The sequence below is a fragment of the Homo sapiens genome, chromosome 13 (genome assembly GCF_000001405.40).
Source record: "Homo sapiens chromosome 13, GRCh38.p14 Primary Assembly".
NCBI classification, from domain to species: domain Eukaryota; kingdom Metazoa; phylum Chordata; class Mammalia; order Primates; family Hominidae; genus Homo; species Homo sapiens.
The window spans coordinates 52,374,994-52,396,804 of record NC_000013.11 but is presented as its reverse complement, the minus strand read 5'-3'; the positions used below and the strand labels follow the sequence as shown (position 1 = coordinate 52,396,804).

The window sequence follows — 21,811 nt, the reverse complement described above, 5'->3', positions numbered from 1 at the left end:
GAGCATGTCTCTTCTCTTAAGTCATTCATTATAGGAATGGGGCCTTTTTAGTGAGAAATCAAAGCAAGAGTTCTAAAAATGTATTGGGATTCTGTATTCTTTATGTAATGCCCCACCTAATCATGAAGAAACAGGGTTATGACAATTCCATTAATTCCCTATGCTGCTCTTTGCATTTCTTTCCCTTTTCTTGGGGGAAAGTCTGGTCTTATTAAGTAGTTTAATTTGGCAGAAATGGTCTCGTTCGTTTTTTATCTTTGTTTTGTTTTGTTTTGTTTTGAGACAGAGTCTCGCTCTGTCGCCCAGACTGGATGGAGTGCAGTGGCGCGATCTCGGCTCACTGCAAGCTCTGCCTCCCGGGTTCATGCCATTCTCCTGCCTCAGCCTTCTGAGTAGCTGGGACTACAGGCGCCCACCACCATGCCCGGCTAATTTTTGTATTTTTAGTAGAGACGGGGTTTCACTGTGTTAGCCAGGATGGTCTCGATCTCCTGACCTTGTGATCCACATGCCTCGGCCTCCCAAAGTGCTGGGATTACAGGCATGAGCCACTGCGCCCAGCCTGCTTTTTATCTTTATCCCTGGTAAGCCCAGTGTCCCCTGACTACACAAGCCTGACTTTGTAACCCCCAGTGTTCCTTGCTGCAAATTTACCCACTTCCTCTCCTTAAGTCCCTTTCCTTTGGCTTTCTCCTCCGCCACTGGCCACTTCCCTCCTTGCACTTCCTTTTCTATCCAGCTTAGATTCCATGGTTCATCCCTTTAACCACCCTCCTGCCAATATCCTAAACTCCTTAGCTTCGTCCTTTTGATACGCCTGCCAGGACACACCCCAGCTCTGCCTGTATCCAGCCATCTGCCAGCCACCCACTGCACCCAAGTTGCTAAGGCTGAGTGACAAGGTTACATCATGGTGGCCTGATGCCACCGTGGGTGGATCATGCTTTCACCCTTGGCAGGGCCTGCATGCTGCTCAGCATGTCACCCAGGCCAGGTCTTGCTCCTGTTCTACACAACAAATGAGGTACAGGACTCCAAATCCAGGCACACTTCACCCAGTGTCTTCATTGACCTTGATTCTGTGACACCACACTCGCCCTGCTCACCTCCCACCTCCCTGCTTGCTTCTTCACAGTCTCCTTGGCCCACCAGTTCCACTGCCTATCTCCGTTAAGTGCTGGTTGTCTTCTCATTTACTCTTCACACACTTGCCAGGTGATTAGCCTTGATGCTGATGGCTCCAGATGGACGTCTCTTCCCTGCTCGTTCCCTGCCTCCAGGTGCTGCATCCCTCAGATGTCTCCCTGGCACCTCAGAAGCAGCATTTCTGGACTAAGACTCATCCTTGTACCCCCTAACACTGCTTCTCAGTGTAGGACTTCACCAACCATCTTACTGTTCAAACCAGAAGCCAGAAGTCTTCCTCTTCTTTACCTCCTATAAATGCTACATTACTGAGTCCTATGGCTTTGTCTCCTGAGTGTCTCAATCTCTCCACTTCTCCCCAGTTCCAGTGACACCACTTGGGTTAAATCTCCGTTACCCCTTGCCTAGACTCAGAACAGATTCCTAATTGGTTTCCATCTGTCCACTTCTTTCTCTCACTGCAGCCAAAGGGATTGTTTAAAATTCAGGTCAGCTGAGGCTATTCTCCTTCTTAAAACCTGTCATTTCACTAGGCATGAGGATGCAAATCCATAAAACCTTCCAAGGTCAGGCTGCCCCCACATCCCTGCAGTCACCATCTCTGCACTGGGGCCCAGGACACCCTCCTCTCTCCTTCTCCTGGCTAACATTAACCCATCCTTCAAGTCTCCACTTGGGTTACTCTTCCATGACCTCAGGTTCAGTTCCTCTCCTGGAAGCTGGGGCAGCATCTTTTCGTTCCTCTTTGATGGCATTTATCACTTCTGCCATTGCTTGTTTAATATCTTTCTCCCCCTATAAATCCCCTCTGCACAGCAGATGGGGGAAGCTCATTTGGTGGCAAAACCTGACTCGTGCTGCTATGAAGCTTTTTATGGTCTTTATTTGGCCCACTTAGTATGCCTGGCACATTCAGAGGTGCTCAATGCATGCTTATTAAGTGAAAACTGAACTCAGATTTGGCTAGTCTCAACTAGGTATTAGGAGAAAAACAATTAGGTTGAAAGAATTTACTCATCTAAGATATTCTTTTTTTTTTTTTTTTCTGGGACAGTCTTGCTCTGTTGCCCAGGCTGGAGTGCAGTGGCACAATCTTGGCTCACTGCAAACTCCACCTCCCAGGTTCAAGTGATTCTCCTGCCTCAGCCTCCTGAGTAGCTGGGATTATAGATGCGCCCCACCATGCCTGGCTAAATTTTGTATTTTTAGTAGAGACGGGGTTTTGCCATGTTGGCCAGGCTGGTCTTGAACTCCTGTCCTCAGGTGATCCACCTGCCTCGGCCTCCCAAAGTGCTGGGATTACAGGCATGAGCCACCGTGCCTGGCCCAATATTCTTGCCTTTTCAAAAGAAAATATTCATGGGGAAAAAAAACTGACTGAACTTAGCAAAAATGAATCAAAGGAAGTCAATAAATTGGGGCCATTTAATTAAGGTCACATGGGGGCAGGAGGGCCACCTTGGTGGTTTTCCCAGCTGCTGGGCTTTCCACAGATGCTTCCATTCCATGTCTAAAGGCTGGAGTTTTTCCCACACCAGCAGCAGCAGGAAGACGCTGGAAAAGGGCAGAACGGGAGTGGTTCTCTGTGTGTCTAGGTGGAGGGTAGTCAGGGGCTCCCTGTGGGGCTGCCCCATGCAGCCAACTGCGAGACACATTAGAACAATAGGGCTGGGGGCAGTAACTGGGGGAGCTAAACATGCCTGGAGACCCTGGCTCTTGGTGTGGCAGACCATCTCTGACTCTGTTGGTCTGAGAAATGAAATTTATGCTTGAGACAGGAACCTCAGTGACTTCCTGTGTTTTTAGTATAAAATTTATGACTGAACTGGGTTCTCCTTTTATTTTCTATCTCTGACCAGTAAAGAGTGTCTTTTTTGCCAAATGGTACCATTTAGGGACTCACCATAACTTGTGTAAGCCACTGACTCACACTGAATTTATTAGTTCCTTTTGAAACTAGAATAATAGTTTTTTGTTTGTTTGTTTTTGTTTTTTGTTTTTGAGATGGAGTCTCGCTCTGTCGCCCAGGATGTAGTGCAGTGGTGCGATCTGGGCTCACTGCACCTGCCACCTCCCGGGTTCTAGCAATTCTCCTGCCTCAGCCTCCCAAGTAGCTGGGAGTACAGGCATGCACTGCCATGCCCGGCTAATTTTTGTATTTTTAGTAGAGACGGGGTTTCACCATGTTGGTCAGGATGGTCTTGATTTCTGTGTTTTTATGTTTGTCTCTTCTTCCAAATATGTCTGAGGATCTTAGGATAATATGTAAATAACAATTGATAGCAAATACATAATGGATTTGCCAAAAATGACTATTTATAATCTTTATTCCACTTAATGGGATAAATATTTACACAGTGATTACTTTGCATCAGGCACTGTTCTAACTGTTTTATGGATATTAACCCATATAGTCCTCATAACAAGTTTATGAGTTCAACTCATTTCATTACATTGTCAATTTTATAGGTGATGAAATGGAGGCACAGAAAGGTTAGTAATTTGTCCAAGGTCAATGGTGTTTAAATAGAAGGGTCAGAACACAAATCCAGGTAGACTAGCTTGGGAGTTTAATTTGACCACTATTCTGTAACTGCCTTCTATGCAATTGACTGTCAATCCATGTATTAAACAGTACAAAGCTTTTAGATTGAAAAAAAAAAGGCTCTGTTTTTTCCTCCTTAACTTACTGTTTCATTTTGTGCCACCCATCTCTTGGAACACCCGTAACCACTTGGGAGCCCACAGGCCCAAGCATAAGTATGATTTGTTCAATATAAGGAAGCCTTGTCTATGCAAAGAAAATCTGAACTGCTTATCCCAGGTGCTACTGCTCTTCCTACTGCTTATAGCTACTCCCTTATGTCTATAGAATTTTCTTATAATCGTGATTTGTTTAGTTACCTTGGTTTCTTGAACAAAATGCCTTGCAGATGTGAATATTTCAAAGCTGTATTCCTTCAGATAGCTTTATGGGTAGAAACAAACCTCCCTTTTCACATTTAAGGCATATTTTGCTTATTCAAAATTAAAACCCTCTATAATAGGCTGAAAGGCATTTAGCCTGGACAAACAGGTTTGTTATGTAGTGTGAGCACATGTATGGATGTCTAAACAAGACAAAACAAAACAGCTTTTCATTCGTGAAGTAGGACTATTTGGAGTATTGGTCATTTTGCTCTTCATTTCTAACATATGAACTACAGTTATCTAATGAGTTCCCATTTTGCCAAGTATTTTCCTCAGAGTTATTAGCGGAGATCTCAGGGATCAGATGGAGTTACTTAAGACATTTACAAATATTTGCCTACTTAAATTTGATCATTGCTTTGAGTGATTTCCTGTGTTTACTGTTTGATTAATTTGATTTAGAAATGGAGACATAAAAGCTTAGCTTAAATGTTCATTTTGTTTTATTGTGTGGTATCCTACATGCTATGATTTTACTTTTTTTTTTTTTTTTTTTTTGAGAGGAGTCTCACTCTCTCCCCCAGGCTGGAGCGCAGTGGCGCGATCTCGGCTCACCGCAAGCTCCGTCTCCTGGGTTAACGCCATTCTCCTGCCTCAGCCTCCTGAGTAGCTGGGACTACAGGCGCCCGCCACCACGCCCGGCTAATTTTTTGTATTTTTAGTAGAGATGGGGTTTCACCGTGTTAGCCAGGATGGTCTCGAACTCCTGACCTTGTGATCCGCCTGCCTCGGACTCCCAAAGTCCTGGGATTACAGGCATGAGCCACCGTGCCTGGCCTATGATTTTACTTTCAAGGGAAAAGAACACAACATTTCAAAATGAGATTTTTTTGACATTAAGATTTTTGCCGGCTGCGGTGGCTCACGCCTGTAATCCCAGCACTTTGAGAGGCCGAGGTGGGTGAATCACTTGGTCAGGAGATTGAGGACCATCCTGGCCAACATAGTGAAACCTCATCACTACCAAATATACAAAAATTAGCCGGGCATGGTGGCACGTGCCTGTAGTCCCAGCTACTCAGGAGCCTGAGGCAAGGGAATTGCTTGAACCTGGGAAGCAGAGGTTGCAGTGAGCCAAGATTGCACCACTGCACTCCAGCCTGGGCTACAGAGCAAGACTCCATCTAAAAAATATATATATATATGTAAAATTATATATATATATACTTCTGGCAGGTATGGTGGCACACCCCTGTAAATCTCAGCACTCTGGGAGGCCAAGGCAGATGGATCACTTGAGCTCAGGAGTTTGAGACCAGCCTGGGCAACATAGCAAAAACCCATCTCTACAGAAAATGCAAAAATTAGCCAAGGATAGTGCCATGCACCTGTAGTACCAGCTACTCGGGAGGCTGAGGTAGGAGGATCACCTGAGCAGGGGGAAGTTGAGGCTTCAGTAAGGCACGATCACACCACTGCACTCCAGCCTTGGCAGCAGAGTGAGACATTGTCTCAAAAAAAAAAAAAATTTATTCTAAGTCCCCTGTCTATCATTACCCATCCAACCCCAAGATCTATCAGATCCTGCCAACACTAGCCACCAAAACATACTCTGCATAAAACACTCTCTCCATTCTTTATGGATGAAAACTTCTAATGCAGCCAAAGGTACACAAAGCACTACAAAACATAAAGAAAACGTGTAGGGCAGATGCATTCTCAGGTGAGCCAAGTGGTGCAATCTTTGGAGTGAGTAATGGAATATGAGTTCCATTATTTATATATACATATAATTTTTTAATCTAACAAATATACTTTTTTAAATCAAAACTGATTTTTTTTCTGATCCTCACTAGTGGAATTTTTATTTTTAGTTTGACAAATGACTTTATGCACTTAAATAAATTATATAAAGCAAAAGAGTTCAGAAGGAACAACAAAAGATTCTTAGCATGTGTAATTCTACCTTTTGTGGTCCTAAATATGAGCATGGAGAAGGATAAACTATATATTGACTTAATTTTTAATTCAGATTTTACAGTAGTCGGATTTCCAGTAGATTTTCCCAAAATAAATCACAATACTATAACTCAGAGAGACTTTAATAGGAGATTCTCAAAGCTTTTCAAGCAGAGGGGCTTAGTATGGGAACATCTCTGAAGCTTTGAAGACAAAGCCAGCTCATTGTTATGCTGTATGAGGAGCTCCAGTGTGATCTTGGAGGCACAGAACCAATATTGTGTTCACTTGGACCTCTAGATGGAACATAATTAGCACATCTCAGTTGATGTTGGTCCAGGATACTGGTTTGTAGTCCTCCCACTCTTGTGAAAATCCTTTTAATTGCTGTAAAGAACTCATATTCCATTACTCACTCCAAAGATTGCACCACTTGGCTCACCTGAGAATGCATCTGCCCTACACGTTTTATGTTTTGTAGTGCTTTGTATACCTTTGGCTGCATTAGAAGTTTCTGTCCATAAAGGATGAAGAGAGTGTTTTATGCAGAGTGTGTTTTGGTGGCCAGTGTTGGCAAGATCTGATAGGTCTTGGGGTTGGATGGGTACTGATAGACAGAATTATTAAAATAATTCTTTTTTTTTTTTTTGAGACAATGTCTCACTCTGCTGCCAAGGCTGGAGTACAGTGGTGTGATCGTGGCTTACTGAAGCCTCGACTTCCCCTGGCTCAGGTGATCCTCCTACCTCAGTCTCCCGAGTAGCTGGTACTACAGGTGCATGGCACTATCCCTGGCTAATTTTTGCATTTTTTGTAGAGATGGGTTTTTGCTATGTTGCCCAGGCTGGTCTCAAACTCCTGAGCTCAAGTGATCCACCTGCCTTGGCCTCCCAGAGTGCTGGTATTTACAGGAGCGCACCACCATGACTACCAGAATAATTATTTATAGGGAAATTACTCATTTGTTCTGTCTGGCAGTGATTACGTATCTGCTTGGATGAGAAATTCACATTTATCAATCAATAATGGCTGGGAGAGTTTTGTGTGTATTTTGAAGCTCCGGTGTTAGGTACATCCTCATTTAGGATTAAGGTTCCTTGCTGAATTGACCCTTTTATCACTATATAATGTTGCTCTTTATCCCTGGTAATATCCCTGGTTCTGCAGTCTATTTTGTTTGATATTAATGTAGTTACTCTAGTTTTCTTTTGATTAGTGTTCATAAGGCATATCTTCCGTTTTTTTACTTTTAACATATATATGTCTATACGTAAAGTGGGCTTTAAAAAAAATAGTTGGATTGTGCTTTTTTATCTAATCTGACAATCTATGTCTTTTAACTTAGTGTTTAGATTATTTAGTTTTATCATTATATGGTTGGATTTATTTTGCTGGATTTATATTTGTTACATCCATTCTGTTTTTTCATCTTTTTTTCTGCCTTATTTTAGATTAATTGAATATTTTAATGGTTTACTTTAACTACACTATTGGTTTATTATTTATACCTTAAAAATGTATTTAGTGGGCTGGGCGCCATGGCTCACACCTGTAATCCCAGCATTTTGGGAGGCCGAGGAGGGCAGATCACTTGAGATCAGGAGTTCAAGACCAGTCTGACCAACATGGTGAAACCCCGTCTCTACTAAAAATTCAAAAAACTTAGCTGGGCATCGTGATACACACCTGTAATCCCAGCTACTTGGGAGGCTGAGGCATGAGAATCGCTTGAACCTGGGAGGTGGAGGTTGCAGTGAGCCGAGATCACGCCATTGCACTCCAGCCTGGGCGACAGAGCAAGATCTGTCTCAAAAAAAAAAAAAGTGTTATTTAGTGGTTGTCCTAGAGTTTATAATATATATGTTTACTCTCAGTCTACCTCCAGGTATTATATTGCTTCACATGTAGTATAAGGACTTTTGAACAATACACTCCCAATTCACTCCTCCCATTCTTTGTGTGATCGTTGTCATAATTTTACTTTATATATGCTATTAAACACTTAATACGGCCAGTTGTGGTGGCTTATGCCTGTAATCCCAGCACTTTGGGAGGCCGAGGTGGGCAGATCACCTGAGGTTGGGAGTTCAAGACCAGCCTGACCAACATGGAGAAACCCCGTTTCTACTAAAAATACCATAAGTTAGCTGGATGTGGTGGCGCATGCCTGTAATTCCAGCTACTCGGGAGGCTGAGGTAGGAGAATCGCTTGAACCCAGGCGGGTGGAGGTTGCGGTGAGCTGAGATCGCACCATTGCACTCCATCCTGGGCAACAAGAGTGAAACTCTGTCTCAAAAACAAAAACAAAACAAATAATACATTGCCGCTATTTTGTTTTAGGCTATCAGTGATATTTTAGAGCATTTAAAAATGAGAAAAATGATTTTTACCTTTATATATACCATTGCTGGCACTCTTCATTTCTTTATATAAATGCAGATTTTTGTCTGGTAACATTTTCTTTCTGCCCAAAGGATTTCTTTGAACATTTCTTGTATTGAAGGACTGCTAGTAATACATGCATGATCTCCATTTTTGTTTTTCTGAAAAAGTCTTTATTTCTCCTTTATTTTTGAAATATATATATACATATATATTTTTTTTTTTACTGGGGTGGTAGCTTTTTCTTTCAGTACTTTAGAGATGACATTCTCTTATCTTCTGGCTTGGATAATTTTGTCAAGAAGTCAGCTGTAATTCTTATTGTCATTCTTCTCTGGTGGTATATTCTCCCACCCTTCAGCCACAGCCTTCAAACTTTTTGGTTTGGTTTTGGTTTTCAGCAGTTTGGGTACAGTATTGCTTTTTCTATTTATCCTGCATGGTGTTTTCTGAGCATCTTGGATATGTGGTTTGGAGTCTTTCATTAACTTTGGAGAGTTCTTGGACTTATTTATTGTGTCCTACTCTATCTTCTTCTCCTGGTATTCCAATTACATGTATGGGAGTCTGATATTGCCCCACAGCTCTTAGGTCTTCTATTCTGTTTTATGTACTCTTTTTTTCCTCTTTGTGTTTTTTAGTTTGGGACATTTCTATTTACTTGTATTCACATTTACTGTTTCTTTCCTCAGCTGTGTGTCAAGTCTATTGATGAGCCTTCTTCATCTGTGTTACCATATTTTAAAATTCTAATATTTCCATTTGACTTTTTAGTTTCTAACAGTCTGATGAAATTTTCCATCTGTTTATGCATCTTGTTCACCTTTTCCACTAAAGTTTTTGGCATATTTATCGTAGCTATTTTACATTCTCTCTCTGAGAGTTTTAATATCTGGGTCAGCTCTGAGTCTGGTTATCTTGATTACTTTGTCTCTTAATAGTTTTATGGTTTTTTTCCTTGCTTTTTGTGCCTAATAATTTTGAGTTGAAAGCTGGACACCTTGTTTGAAACTATAGACATGGAGGTATTTATGCCTGGAAATGGTCATACCTCTGTTTTTGCTAGGCCTTTAGTTTGGGTATTGGGTTAATATAGTAAAGAATTGAGCTATGTTTGGGTTTTTACCATTGTTATGGCTACCCTCAGTGCTTATCACATTTGACATTTTTTGAGTGTTATTTTGTGTTTAGGGAAGGCATTGCATGACTATAGGGGTTTCCTCCATGCTTCTGTCCCACCCTCAGCTTTAGGTGTGAGCCTGCACATCAGAGAGGCTTTCATCTTTTGCTATGCCTCTTCCCCAGAAGTAGACTGTTGTTATTTGATATTTGGCACTTGCTAGCCTGGAGTAGAGGGAGGGCATTCCCTTGTACTAGTTCAGCCTCAGTCTTAGGCAAGTGCTGTGTTCCTAAGTTTCAGGAATGGGACCTTCTTGATGATCCTGCGCCTCCCCAGTGGTAGATGATCTCTAATAGTCTGGGTCCAGGATATTTTTGGCTCTTCCCCAAGGGTGAAGGAGTTTCTTTTTCCATTCTCTAGAAGCAGTTGATATCAACTGGTGCTCTTAGGATAATAGGGTTTGAGGCCTTTCCCCAAGTGGTTGAAGCTTTTATTCAGTAGAGGAAATGGAGAGAGGACAGGTGAGGTTCTGTGTCTTTTCCACAGTGCTGCCCCTTCCCTCCTTGGGCCTCCACCATGAGGGAGGCTTTGTCTGGTCTTGCATCTGCCCCCAGTGCTTCTTGTATTTGATGAGATCTGTGGAGAAGAGTCTGCAAGTGGGTATAAATTCTGCTTGTGTATGTGAGTCGTAGGGGTTCTATATTCTGTGCTACTCCACTAGGCTTTTGGCAGTTCATTACATTTTTAAGTGAACTCTTCTTACCACCTTGTATGCAGCCTGGTGTCTGCCCCTGGTAAACAAGAGTTGCATCTCATTTTTCCTTGGAAGATGCTATCTTTCCTTTTATTGCAGCACAGTTAGTTGTCCTGCGACCTCAGCTCTTTTTTGGGTTCTGGAAAGGTTAAGATCTTTAAATTATACAGCTTTTCTTTGTTTTAAAGTTAGGAGCAACTCTTTTCAGCTTTCTTCATCTCTGGGAACGCTTTAACTCACGGGCTTTTCAAGACCTGAGATTTGAGTTTTGCTGTTTCATTTGGGTGCAGTTAAATACTGATTCTCAAATGAACTAGCATTAAAAGCATAACTTATATCCTTGCAGAAACTTGGGGACTGTGGCAGCCATGGAGCCAGTGTAGTGCCACATGTGGGGATGGTGTCAGAGAGCGTCGCCGAGTGTGTCTCACTTCCTTCCCCTCCAGTCCTGTCTGCCCTGGAATGTCCTTGGAGGCCTCCCTGTGTTCCCTGGAGGAGTGTGCTGGTAGGTATTCTTGCTTCCTTCGGGAGTCTCTCCTCAGAGCCTTCATCAGAAGGAATATTGAACCCAGGCCTGCCTGAGAGTTACCAGTCTAAGATCAGGAGTAGACTCATTAATGCTCTGTGATTGCTGTTGGTTGTACTAACCCTGTATTTGTTAGTGTATCTAAGACCGGGAATAGCTGGGAGAGTAGCTTACCAGTGAGATAATGGGATTTACCACTGTAGAAGATAAGGAAATAATAAGGAAATATTAAGGATTCAGACATATTAAATAATTTCTAAAAATGCAAAAAATGGGGAAAGGATCATTTCTTCATAAGATTTTTTTGTTTTTTCTCCCTCTGTTTCTCCCCACCAAAACTGTGGAAAAACAGTTTTCCTTAATTTTTCTCCCTATCAACCCAGAAAAGCCAGGGGACCACATAGACCATTATTTGTCAAAATGGGGCAAGACTCCCTGTCCTATACCCTGAGTGGCCTAAGTTATTCCTTACTGCCCCTACCCAGAGGGACATTTCTTCATGCTGTCATCCGAAGACTGGCCTTTCCTGTATCTTCTAAGCATCTTCAAGGCACATACTCGTAGCTGGTCAGTGAGTATTTGATCTAAATAGTCTATAGATATGTTGCTCACACGGCTCAGTTAGGTTTGCCCCAGCTTGTGGAGCTAAATCCTGTTCATTTACCATGAGTTACACACTGAATAGTCCTTGCTTTTTCCACACACCATCCCGCCTCCTGACAGACAATCCACATTTACTTTGCCAGCCTCTGCTCTGGTCCTGACTCTTAGATAAAAGTCCTTGTGTCAAGGATTTTATCTTGTCATTGTACTCTCCAATTCCAGGTTAAAAGACCATCTTAGCTCCTTGTTTCTTTGGGATATGGAGGAGTTATGTGCTTTTCTGTGTTTGGATCTCAGAGTACCTTTTAGCCCAAACCACAGGCACCTGGCAACATCTCAGCCAGTGTCCCCACCTGTGGCCTTAGAAAATCCTTTTTGCTATATCATTTTTCCAGCCAGTATCATAGGCTCTGTTCCCTTCATTCCAGCATTTTTAGGACATTATTCTTTCTCCTATTTTTTTTTTTCTTATTGTAGCTTCCTCTTCTCCTAGCCTCCATCTGCCTGTCTTTCATAGGCCCCACCCTGAATCCATTATTTCTTCAGTGATATACTGTTGTCCAAGGCTCTCTTCTCTGTCTGCTCTTTTCTTTATAAGTCCTCTTCACTTTCCACAGCACCTTCCTTGTGTATAACTTCCCTCAAATACACCTTATTCTCTCAATTCTGGGATGGGATCATGTGTTCAGACATTTCATATCTGAGTTCCATAACACTCAGATGAATTTAAACTCAGTGGCCACTGGTGACAACTAATCTTTTATATGTGACAATATTTATTTATTGTTATTACCATTAATTGGTTATCTGCTGTGTGACAACACTTAAAATACATTATCTCACTTAAGGCTCACCGTAATTCCACAAGGTAGGTATCATTATGCTGGGCTCAGACCTCTTGAGAGCTTACTGCCTGCCAGGCATTTTTCTAAGGACCTTGCACACATAAAGTAGGCATATTCTTATTTCCACATTGCAGATGAGGACCCTGTGGGATAGGGAGGGTGGGTGGCCTGTCCAAGATCATGAAGCTAGAAAGTAGGGGCACTGGATTTGACTTCTTGCTAAGCTATCGATCTTGAATACCTTGCCTTTATATACAGGCCAATCTGGCTTTCTAGAAGAAGTATCAACAACCTGGAATTAACAATCATTTTTGAGAAATGTGATATTATGTCATATTCTGGCATCTTCTTCTTCTTTTTTTTTTTTTTTTTTTGAGACGGAGTTTCGCTCTTGTTGCCCAGGCTGGAGTGCAATGGTGCGATCTCGGCTCACGGCAACTCCGCCTCCCGGGTTCAAGCGATTCTCCTGCCTCAGCCTCTGGCATGTGCCACCACGCCCAGCTAATTTTTGTATTTTCAGTAGAGACGGGGTTTCTCTATGTTGGTCAGGCTAGTCTCGAACTCCCGACCTCAGGTGATCCGCCTGCCTCGGCCTCCCAAAGTGCTGGGATTACAGGCGAGAGCCACTACGCCCAGCCGGCATCTTAATTCTTTAATACTGAGTAGGAACTGGAAATTTGTGCATTCTAAGTTAGCAAAAAGGTAAGTCCTACAGACTTGCCTGCCCCTACTGTAAATGGTCCTCAGATATTGCTTATGTGGATAAAAATGATCATTTCTTCCAAGTGTGCTCTTTGTCCTAGTCAACCTATTTTCCATTCTTTGGAAATGTAAAGATGTATTCACAGGCTGCATAGCATCAACAATCTCCTTTACTTCAGCTGAAAGAGGAAAAACTAGAGATACAGATGGGCGAGGCCAGCAGCTTTTGGGCTTTTCTCCAGCTGTGATTTTAAAGGAAGCCAGCCAGAGTAAAAAGATAACAGAGTCAAGTGAAGAGGTTCATGGTGTGTAATAGCAATGCTGCTACCCACTGTCATGAGCAGCCACTGCAGGTGAAGGAAGTGATACATCAGGGAACAAGCCTTTCATCATTCAACTGTTTTTACTTGTTTGGGAGTTCAGAGGTTGGTTTGGCTTTAAAAGAATGTTCTTATGCCAAGGTCTGAATGTAGTTCTACATTATATGGTCTATCTTATTCAACAAGAGAGTAGTATAATTAAATTGCTGTTGCACTGATGTTCCATCTGGTGGAATATTGATCATTTTGCTATTGCCTTTTTAATAATGAAGGAATGAATCAATCAGTTAAACTAGTGTTTATGAGCACTATGCAAGTTGCTGTGACTGTGGTCGGGAATGTATTAATAAGATATGACTGTCTTGAAGGGGCTTATAGTAGCTCAGAAGGCACATAAACAGGCTTAATACTCAGTACAATATTATAGGGCCTGCAATGAAAAATGTACCCACAGCTTGCTATAGAAGCTTTCAGGAGTGACAATCCAAGCCCAAGACATCTCCAGTCTTGGAGGAAGTGATACTTTTTTTTTTTTTGAGACAGAGTCTTGCTGTGTTGCCCAGGCTGGAGTGCAGTGGCATGATCTCAACCACTGCAACCTCCGCCTCCTGGGTTCAAGCGATTCTGCTGCCTCTGCCTCCCAAGTAGCTGGGACTACAGGTGCACACCACCACACCCGGCTAAGTTTTTGTATTTTTAGTAGAGACGAGGCTTCACCATGTTGGCCAGGCTGGTCTCGAACTCCTGGCCTCAAGTGATCCACCCACTTCAGCCTCCCAAAGTGCTGGGATTACAGGCATGAGCCACCACACCCGGCCAAGGAGGTGATATTTGAGCTGAAGTTTGGAAGCTGAGGTGTCCCTCAGGTGAAGCAGGTGAAAATGGGAGTTTTAGCAAAGGGAGCAATGAATGAAGGCAGGGAAGATGGCACATTAAGAGACCTGGAGAACTGAAAGTAGTTTAGTGTGTCTGGATGATAGTGTGCCAGGGAGGGGTGGGAGACGTGAGGCCAGCCAAGTAAACGGGATTAATATCCTGAGGGGCCTTGAAGGTTGGGACCTGTGTTTTCGTGGTATCTCTATCTGGTTGTAGCAAGGAGTATAAATCAGAAGGTTAGGCATGGCAGCAGATGTACCTGTTGAGAAAAATTTTTCAGGAACCTATGTGCAAAATGAAGTGCCAGCAATGGTGATGGAGGGAGAGGAGGATTCAGACTCTGTATGTGGCAAGTGATGGAGAGGGAGCATGAAGGATGAAACCCAGGATTTTAGTACTGGCAACTGTGTGAACTGTGATTCCATTCCTTTGAGATCAGATATATCAGAGGAAGCACAAGTTGTAGGGGAAGATGGTGAGTCTTGGGCATTTTGAGATGGAGGTCGTGGGACAGCCAATGGAGATAGTAGAGCTAGTGGAGCCAGGAATGGACTGTAGCTCTCCTTGGATCTAAAATTCATGCTCTTCTCTCTAAATTACATAAGTGAATGTTCTCATTGAAACCAAAAGGGAGAGAGAGAGTTGCAAGAGCTATATAACAGTAGCCAATGCTGCAGAACGAACTCCTTTGAATTTGACTATTGGGAGGTCATTCATAACCTTGGTGGGAACTGTTTAATTGGAATCTTGGGGATAGGTTGCAGGAGACAGGTGATGTAGGAGCAGTAAGCAAATGCAGACCCCTCTTTTCAGTAAGCATGGCTGGGAAGACAAGGAGCAAGATAGGTCTGAGAGCGTGAGAGGGCTGGAGAAGGGTCCTTTTAAAGTGCAAAGAGATTGAGTATGTTTATGTGCTGAGGAAAAGGAGCTAATAGAGGAGCAGCTGGAGATAATTGCTGCAGAGGAATGATGCCCCTGGACAAAGGAGTCCTAGAAAGCATTTGCTTGTGGCCTCACCTTTTATAGGAGGACAGTTCTCCCACTGATTATGTGGAAAAAAGGTAAATAGAGGTGTGGATGCTAATAAGTTTATGGGGCAGAGGAGGATTGCAGAAGAAGCTGGGCATGTACTTGCCTGATGGCTTCTATTTTGTGTGTGTGTGACCTATTAGAGTGCTAAGGAAGTGGATTGGATAGGGGGCTTAAGAAAGTGGTGAAATTGGAAGCAGGTGTTTTAGGGGACCCATGGAAGGATTTGTGGGCAGCTGAGGTTGGGTGCTGTGACTGCGCAGGGGCACTGACCTGCATGGTTGTTCATTTTCTCCACCAGTGCAGCAGCTAGGAATTCACGTGTCTGAGGTTCACATGTCTAGGGTCAGACTTCTGCTGCAGAGCAGGGGAAGGGGTATAGCTCAGTATTAGAGGTCAAGAGAATTGAGGTTGTTGGAAGGAAAATGGTTTCAGTAATGGATCATGGTTGTAAATTGGTTAGGGGGAGAAGTGAGGTTGGGAAGTGTCTGGCAGATGGGAGAAAATGGAGGGCTGGAGAATCAGAAGTCTTAATGTAGTAATAGTGAGTGAGTGAGAGTAGTGAACACAGCTAGAGAGTGGGTTGAGCGGTTTAAGATTTTAGAAGAGGAGCAGAGAGTGGGAAGGTACTATATGTTGGATGGACCTGAAGCCACCTGGATGGTCCTAGCTCTGGCATAGTGAGGGAGGCTGGGACCCAGGTGCTAGAGTGACTGATGGCTAGCAGGAGGTTGGGAGATGATGGTGTTGAGGGAGGAGTAGAACGGTGGTTGGCAAGGATGGCATGGGCATCAAAGGAATGGAAGTTTTTTATGGAGGTGAAAGAGCACAGGTTGGAAAGAGCAATAGGAATGAGCTTGGGGAACGCACTCTGCTTCTTGCCCTGTTTACTTATAAAGAAAGTATGTGTAATCCCAGCACTTTGGGAGGCCAAGTTAGGCAGATCACGAGGTCAGGAGATCGAGGCCATCCTGGCTAACATGGTGAAACCCCATCTCTACTAAAAATACAAAAAAATTTAGTGAGGCGTGGTGGTGGGTGCCTGTAGTCCCAGCTACTCGGAAGGCTGAGGCAGGAGAATGGCGTGAACCCAGGAGGTGGAAAAGAAAAAAAAAAAAAAGGAAAAGAAACTATGTGTGACAGCTTCCACTGAGAGGATTGGGGGAAACCATGCCCTGCAGGGTAGCCTGGCTTCAGTTGGGACAAGGAGGTGAAGGTGGTGTTCTGTGGAGCAGTTAGGGATGTTGGGGAATTTGTAATCAGCTGTCCCCTAGGGGACAGTACAAAGAGTGGGCAGTGGGAGGACGGGTGGAGAAGATGAAGCACAGAGCTGGTGGTGATACAAACATGGGAAAAAAAGCCATAGGACTGGTGACCAAAGGGGAAAGAGAGGGGAGGGTCAGGTGGCATTAGTTGGTCTCAGGTTTCCAGGTGTTTTGGTGGCAGTACAGGTGGAGGCTCCAGGTGGTGCCTGCATTTTGATGAAACATTTTGATGACCGTGGGACAAACCAGTTTGAGGAGGGAAAAAGAAGAAAAGTACCCCTCACAATGGAAGGTAGGAAGGGGAGTGGATGGCTGAAAATAGAAGAGAGAGAATGCAGAGGCTTTAACGCTTAGGAAAGACAATTTCTGGATAATAGAAGGGGGAAATGAGTTGTATTATGTATTGCCAAGTCTTACTTTCGTCAGTTAATTTCCCTTAAGATGTACATATGTAGGAACCTAAATTTGGCCTACCTAAATCATTTTGCATTTCACATTTTATACTTCCGATGTGCCTCTCAGAGGTACATTTAACAATAGGTACCATGTTTACATTATCGTAAGTGAACACTGACTTTTATCTTGAAAATTTCTGGCTGGGCGCAGTGGCTCACACCTGTAATCCCAGCACTTTGGGAGGCCGAGGTGGGCAGATCATGAGGTCTGGAGTTCAAGACCATCCTGGCCAACATGGTGAAACCCTGTTTTTACTAAAAATTAAAAAATGAGCCAGGGGTGGTGGCATGCGCCTATAGTTCCAGCTACTCAGGAGGCTGAGGCGGGAGAATCACTTGAACCGTGGAGGCGGAAGTTGTTGCAGTGAGCCGAGATCGTGCCACTGTGCTCCATCCTGGGCGACAGAGCAAGACTCCGTCTCAAAACAAAAAAAAAAAGAAAAAGAAAATTTCTACATGCTACTTCTGTGTGGAAACTTGGAGGCCAATTCCAGCAGGAGCTGGTGAGCATGGGAGTCACCTTGATTATGGCTTACCAGGTCACCTCGCTTCTGTGGGTCTCTGTTTTTGCAGTGTTTCCCCTTTGGTGATCTTGTTTGGCTTCAGCTGCCAGCAGAAATCCATATGTAAGACCAGAAATCCCAGTCCTTGTTTATTTTCCATCATTCCTTAACTGCTAGATAATTAGAGTGAGTGACTCAGAGACCTTAAAACCGTGCAGAGCAAACAATACTAGAAAATACATATTTGGGCTGGGCACAGTGGCTAACACCTGTAATCCCAGCACTTTGGGAGGCCAAGGCGGGTGGATCACAAGTCAGGAGTTCAAGACCAGCCTGCCCAATATGATGAAACCCCAGCTCTACTAAAAATACAAAAAAATTAGCCAGGCGTGGTGGTGCATGCCTGTAATCCCAGCTACTTGGGAGGCTGAGGCAGGAGAATTGTTTGAGCCTGGGAGGCGGAGGTTGCAATGAGCCGAGATCACACCATTGCACTCCAGCCTGGGCAACAGAGCAAGACTCCATCTCAAAAAAAAAAAAAAAAAGAAAAGAAAAAGTAAAAATACATCTGTTCCTCTGTGTTTTTTGTTTGTTTGTTTTGTTTTGTTTTTTTTTGCAGCTTTCCAGCCATCCAGCCCATCTCCTCTTCAGCCCCAGGGTCCAGTGAAGTCCAACAACATCGTGACTGTCACTGGTATATCCTTGTGCTTGTTCATCATCATTGCCACTGTGCTCATCACGCTGTGGAGGAGGTTCGGCCGGCCAGCCAAGTGCAGCACACCTGCTCGACACAACTCCATCCACTCCCCCAGCTTCCGGAAGAACTCGGACGAGGAGAATATCTGCGAGCTGAGCGAGCAGCGCGGGAGCTTCTCGGATGGGGGAGACGGGCCCACGGGGAGTCCAGGGGACACAGGCATCCCTCTGACCTACAGGCGGAGCGGGCCGGTACCTCCCGAGGATGATGCCTCTGGCAGCGAGAGCTTCCAGTCCAACGCCCAGAAGATAATCCCACCTCTGTTCAGCTACCGCCTTGCCCAGCAGCAGTTAAAGGAGATGAAAAAGAAAGGTCTGACGGAAACTACCAAAGTGTATCACGTGTCTCAGAGTCCCCTGACAGACACTGCCATTGATGCGGCCCCCAGCGCTCCCTTAGATTTGGAAAGCCCGGAAGAAGCTGCAGCAAACAAGTTCCGGATCAAATCCCCATTTCCGGAGCAGCCCGCGGTCAGTGCCGGGGAAAGGCCTCCCTCCAGGCTGGATCTAAATGTGACTCAGGCCAGTTGTGCCATAAGCCCCAGCCAGACTCTGATCCGCAAGTCACAGGCAAGGCACGTGGGCAGCAGAGGGGGCCCGTCCGAAAGGAGCCATGCCAGGAACGCCCATTTCAGGAGGACAGCGAGTTTCCATGAAGCCAGGCAGGCCCGGCCGTTCCGAGAGAGGAGCATGTCCACTCTGACTCCACGGCAGGCCCCTGCCTACAGCTCTAGGACGCGGACCTGCGAGCAGGCAGAGGACAGATTTAGGCCTCAGAGTCGAGGTGCCCACCTGTTTCCTGAAAAACTGGAGCATTTCCAAGAGGCAAGTGGAACCCGTGGTCCATTAAACCCTCTCCCTAAATCCTACACTTTGGGGCAGCCCTTGAGGAAACCAGACCTTGGGGATCACCAGGCAGGATTAGTGGCCGGAATTGAGAGAACAGAGCCCCACAGAGCTCGTCGGGGACCGTCCCCCAGTCACAAGAGTGTCTCAAGGAAGCAGTCTTCTCCCATATCCCCCAAAGATAACTACCAGAGGGTCAGTTCTCTGAGCCCTTCTCAGTGTAGAAAAGACAAGTGTCAAAGCTTCCCCACTCACCCTGAGTTTGCCTTCTATGACAATACGTCGTTTGGCCTCACTGAGGCTGAGCAGAGGATGCTGGACCTCCCAGGATATTTTGGGTCAAATGAAGAGGATGAAACCACAAGTACACTTAGCGTGGAGAAGCTGGTGATCTAGACTGAGAATCAGCCTGAGCTTTACACAGCTGGGGTCTGCTACTCGCGTTTTGTAGACTTTTGTGTAACTATTTGTACCGTAGGACAGAATGTGAGGAGGAAGTAACACACAGAGGAGGATGTGTGTGTATGCATGTGTTTGAATTCACAAGGAAGAAATTATTTATCTTGAGCTTTTTCCTTTGTTATTCAATTTCTATTGATTTATTAGTAATAACAATGATAATAAAATGTAAATGAGCAAATGGGGCTTGGTCTGTCATGTGGCTATGAAAGATAAGATGTGACTTTTGAGTAGAACATGCTCTGAACATTGCATTGGCAGTTTCCAACCTGAAGCAGAAATCTGGAACCTCAACTAAAAAGGGATGGAGCGAAGTTAACTTAGTGTCATAATTCTGAATTGCAATTTATTAAGTTATAAATACATTAAGAATTTGACTCCTACAATGGCAGCATCAAACAGATTTCATATTTGGCTGATTAAGTTAGTTATGACCATTAGACTGCTGAACTACTTAGAAATGGTGATACCACAGATATTCAAGAACTTTCAGATTAGAGTTGAGTCCAGGTGACTTGACAAAATTATATGAATTAATTCTGCTTTAAAGAGATAATGTAAGAAGCTGGTGGTTCAGGTAGTGAGTCAAATGAAGACCTATCTGTTCTGAGCAAATAAATAGTAAACATTTTGGAAAGGACAGTATTGTCTTCTGAGGAAATGGGCAGTAGGTACTGACCATGCCACTACCTGGGACCAGGATGCTGATTACATGTTCCTGGACCAAACTGGCAGCAGATACCTCAGCGTGAGAACTGGTGCATGTATGTTTTTCTTAAACATAACTTTATCATGTTGTTCAGAAAATGCATTAATTAGGTATATGTAAAGTAAGTAGAACAGTTTACAATTTTTTATAGTTTTTACAGTTTACAATTTTTTACAGTTTAAGCTTTTTTTTTTTTTTTGAGACGGAGTCTTGCTGTGTTGCCCAGGCTGGAGTGCAGTGGCGCGATCGCAATCTCAGCGCACTGCAACCTCCACCTCCTGGGTTCCAGCGATTCTTCTGCCTCAGCCTCCTGAGAAGCTGGGACTACAGGTGCTCACCACCAGGCCTGGCTAATTTTTGTATTTTTAGTAGAGACAGGGTTTCACCATGTTGGCCAAGCTGGTCTGGAACTCCTGACCTCGTGGTCTGCCTGCCTCGGCCTCCCAAAGTGCTGGGATTACAGGTGTAAGCCACCACGCCCAGCCAAGCTTTTTTAGTTAGAAGAATGAATTAAAGAAGGAAATAAGCCTTTTTAGACATTTAGAATCCCTTTTGTTTGTGTTTGCAATCTTCTACACTTTACAGACAAAGCTTTTTTTTTTTTTTTTTTTTTGAGACGTAGTCTAGCTCTGTCACCCAGGTGGGAGTGCGGTGGCATGATCTTGGCTCACTACAACCTCTGCCTCCCGAGTTCAAGTGATTCTCCTGCCTCAGCCTCCTGAGTAGCTGGGATTACATGCACCTGCCACCAGGCCCAGCTAATTTTTGCATTTTTAGTAGAGACGGGGTTTCACTGTGTTGGCCAGGCTGGTCTCGAACTCCTGACCTCGTGATCCACCTGCATCAGCCTCCCAAAGTGCTGAGATTACAAGCATGAGCCATTGCACCTGGCCACAGACAAGACATTTGAGATACAGGGAGAATAACAGGATTGGCTAGGACATGCACTGATAACATTATTGTAAATATCATGCTCTTTCCACTCTACCATCACAAACTTTACAAGTCTTTTTTTTTTTTTTTTTTGAGACAGAGTCTCCCTCTGTCACTCAGGCTGGAGTGCAGTGGCACAGTCTTGGCTCACTGCAACCTCCGCCTTCTGGGTTCAAGCAATTCTCGTGCCTCAGCCTCCTGAGTAGCTGGAATTACAGGCATCTGCCACCACATCCGACTGATTTTTGTATTTTTAGTAGAGACAGGGTTTCGCCATGTTGTCCAGGCTGGTCTTGAACTCCTGACCTCAAGTGATTTGCCTGCCTTGGCTTCCCAAAGTGCTGGGGTTACAAGCATGAGCCACCATGCTCAGTCTACAAGTCTTTTCTAATAGCAGAAACATCAGGAGAAACCTGGCCCTTTTTAAGAGGGTATGAAGAGACACTTCTATTAGCTTTTCCCAATGGAAAGAAGCTTTCCATTGCTTAATGAAATGTTAGGACTGGTTTTGCAACTTGCTTTTTTTGGCAGTAAAGGCCAAACAAAAGAATCTAAAGGTTTTGTTCCTTTATTAGAAGTCTGTCATTAGTTTTAGTTACCACATGGGCAGTCTGCAATCTCATGTACTCCTTTCAACCCTTGACCCTAATGACTTATCTGTATCCCTAGAGTAGCTGCATTTTTCTTCTTTTTCGTGGTGACCTCTCTAACT

At 44.1% G+C, this 21,811-nt stretch overlaps 1 protein-coding gene across 2 annotated transcripts in view, besides 2 other annotated features; it reads left to right on the top strand.

The window, feature by feature from the left end:
* The window catches only part of THSD1 (thrombospondin type 1 domain containing 1), a 29,006-nt gene extending 9,368 nt beyond the window's left edge, over positions 1-19,638 (top strand). The window contains exons 4-5 of one of the 2 annotated variants that reach the window (NM_018676.4): positions 10,619-10,777; positions 18,016-19,638. In NM_018676.4, coding sequence (NP_061146.1) covers positions 10,619-10,777; positions 18,016-19,394 — 1,538 coding nt within the window. In that variant the 3' untranslated portion in view covers positions 19,395-19,638. The remainder of the gene's footprint in view (positions 1-10,618; positions 10,778-18,015) is intronic. The other variant, NM_199263.3, reaches the window with a different exon arrangement.
* Positions 18,376-18,875: an enhancer, noted in NCBI's record as "H3K27ac hESC enhancer chr13:52952065-52952564 (GRCh37/hg19 assembly coordinates)". NCBI's record gives its function as "activates a minimal SCP1, AML or CMV promoter by ChIP-STARR-seq in naive H9 embryonic stem cells {active_cell/tissue: H9 hESC(naive)}" and the evidence as "EXISTENCE:reporter gene assay evidence [ECO:0000049][PMID:30033119]".
* Positions 18,876-19,377: an enhancer, noted in NCBI's record as "H3K27ac hESC enhancer chr13:52951563-52952064 (GRCh37/hg19 assembly coordinates)". NCBI's record gives its function as "activates a minimal SCP1, AML or CMV promoter by ChIP-STARR-seq in naive H9 embryonic stem cells {active_cell/tissue: H9 hESC(naive)}" and the evidence as "EXISTENCE:reporter gene assay evidence [ECO:0000049][PMID:30033119]".